This window comes from Homo sapiens, chromosome 17 (assembly GCF_000001405.40).
Source record: "Homo sapiens chromosome 17, GRCh38.p14 Primary Assembly".
NCBI classification, from domain to species: domain Eukaryota; kingdom Metazoa; phylum Chordata; class Mammalia; order Primates; family Hominidae; genus Homo; species Homo sapiens.
In genome coordinates, this window is record NC_000017.11 from 72,263,906 (window position 1) to 72,265,719 (window position 1,814).

The following is a 1,814-nucleotide window of genomic DNA, read 5'->3' on the forward strand; positions in this document are numbered from 1 at the left end:
AGGAGAGGGTTGAAATCCTGACACTAGATGAGTTTCTCAGAGAATATGATATAGGAATAAGACCCATTTGTAAGCATAAAAAAGAAAAGAGGCAGCAGAGACAGAGAAGCGGTGATTAGGAGGAAGAAGGTAAATCAGTATGGTATATCATCCTAGGGTCCAAGGAAAGAGCTTTCATCAACTGTGGTATGTGCCAGAGAAGAAGAAAAATAAATAAGAAAATGTTTGAGTTTGGCACTGAAGAAGTAGGTCATTGTTGACCGTTGGGTGACAATATCACTACAAGGCAGGGAGCGGGAAGCCTAGCTTCAGAAGATTGAAGAATGAATGTCTTATAGGGGAAGGGAGGTACATTTGAGAAACTTGAGTGTGAACTGAAACCATTCAAAAGTAGCTAGAAGATCAGCATCAGAAGACAATAGTGTCACCATCTTTAATGGAATAGGACGGTCCTGTATAGGTTAGTTGGTAGAGATATAAACTGGAGGAAGCCACCCCTCTAAGCCATCATATCTCCATGAGTCAGTGAAGATACTATCTACCATGTGGGATCACTGCAAAAATAATGTGGTATGAAGATACACAGCACAGAGCATGGCGGGTAGTAATGACCCATTAAGCATCTATTATTTTTTGTTGCCTTCAGATTATTTTTCCTGATATATGCTGTTTTTTTATACCAATCTAATAGCCCCTCAAGTGAGTGTCCCCTGTGTTTGTGGACATTAGATGAGAGCTCAAGGTAAGCCCATCCCAACCTTTTTTTTTTTTAAGTCCCTTGGGATCCCAGAGAGTCTCAGATTGTACAGCAGCAGTCTCAGATTGTACAGCAGATTGTACAGTCAGATTGTACAGCAGAGTCTCAGATTGTACAGTAGACCTATCAGGGAGGAAGAGAATGCTCAAAAGTAGTGACTTGAATAGTTTCTGTTGGTCTACAGAACCCGCAGAGCATATGATGGGCCTCCCAAGTAACAGAAATACCAAAAGCAATAGCTAGACCATATGCTAAGCCAACACAATAACCAGATCATGTGCTAAGCCAATACAATAACCAGACAATTGTATTGTGCTAATACAATAGCCAAACCATGTGCTAAGCCAATACAATAGCCAGACCATGTGCTAAGCCAGGACCGGCTTTATTTCATTTAACCCATCCCATGATGTTAGTAGAATTTCACACATGAGAAATTTGAGGCTCAGAAGGGCTTAACAGTTGTCATTTGTTGCAGTTCTCATGTGAGGGAGAGGAGGGTTTTCAGCTCATCTATGTCTGGAACTCATGTGATCTGCCACCACTCTCTAGGCCTCTTTCTGCTTCAGTGTTTTTGAGACCGAGAAATTGACCTAGCACTCTGGGGTACTTCCATGAGCACTCAACCAGGAGGCCAAAAAAAAAAAAAAAAAAAAAAAAAACTAACATCAGCCCCGACTCAGACTGGGGAAGGAGGGTCACAGGATGACAGTGATACTAGCACAGCTAGGGTCAATGGTAGCCAGTGTAAAAAGAATGAGCCTGTTTCTAAACAGGGAGGGTGAAGAGGTGGCCAGTGGCCCAAGGGCAGAAGACAGATCACGGGCCTGTCACCCCCTTTACCCCAAAGCACTCAGATACAAAATTGGAACAGACCCATGGGCCACAGCTTGAACCTCCAGCCTGGCAAACCCCAACACATTTCTCGACTTTCCCAGTGCCCTCTTCAGCCACATAAAGCCACTACTTCACGGAGACAAAGAGAGCTCCAGCCTTCACACAACCGCAGTAATTGTAGAGGTGGCCGGCCCCCCAAGTGACTCCACCCAACTCAGAC

At 43.9% G+C, this 1,814-nt stretch overlaps 1 annotated feature.

Annotated features, from left to right (window-relative positions):
• Positions 874 to 943: a silencer, noted in NCBI's record as "silent region_8912". NCBI's record gives its function as "represses an Ori minimal core promoter by ATAC-STARR-seq in GM12878 lymphoblastoid cells {active_cell/tissue: GM12878}" and the evidence as "EXISTENCE:reporter gene assay evidence [ECO:0000049][PMID:35858748]".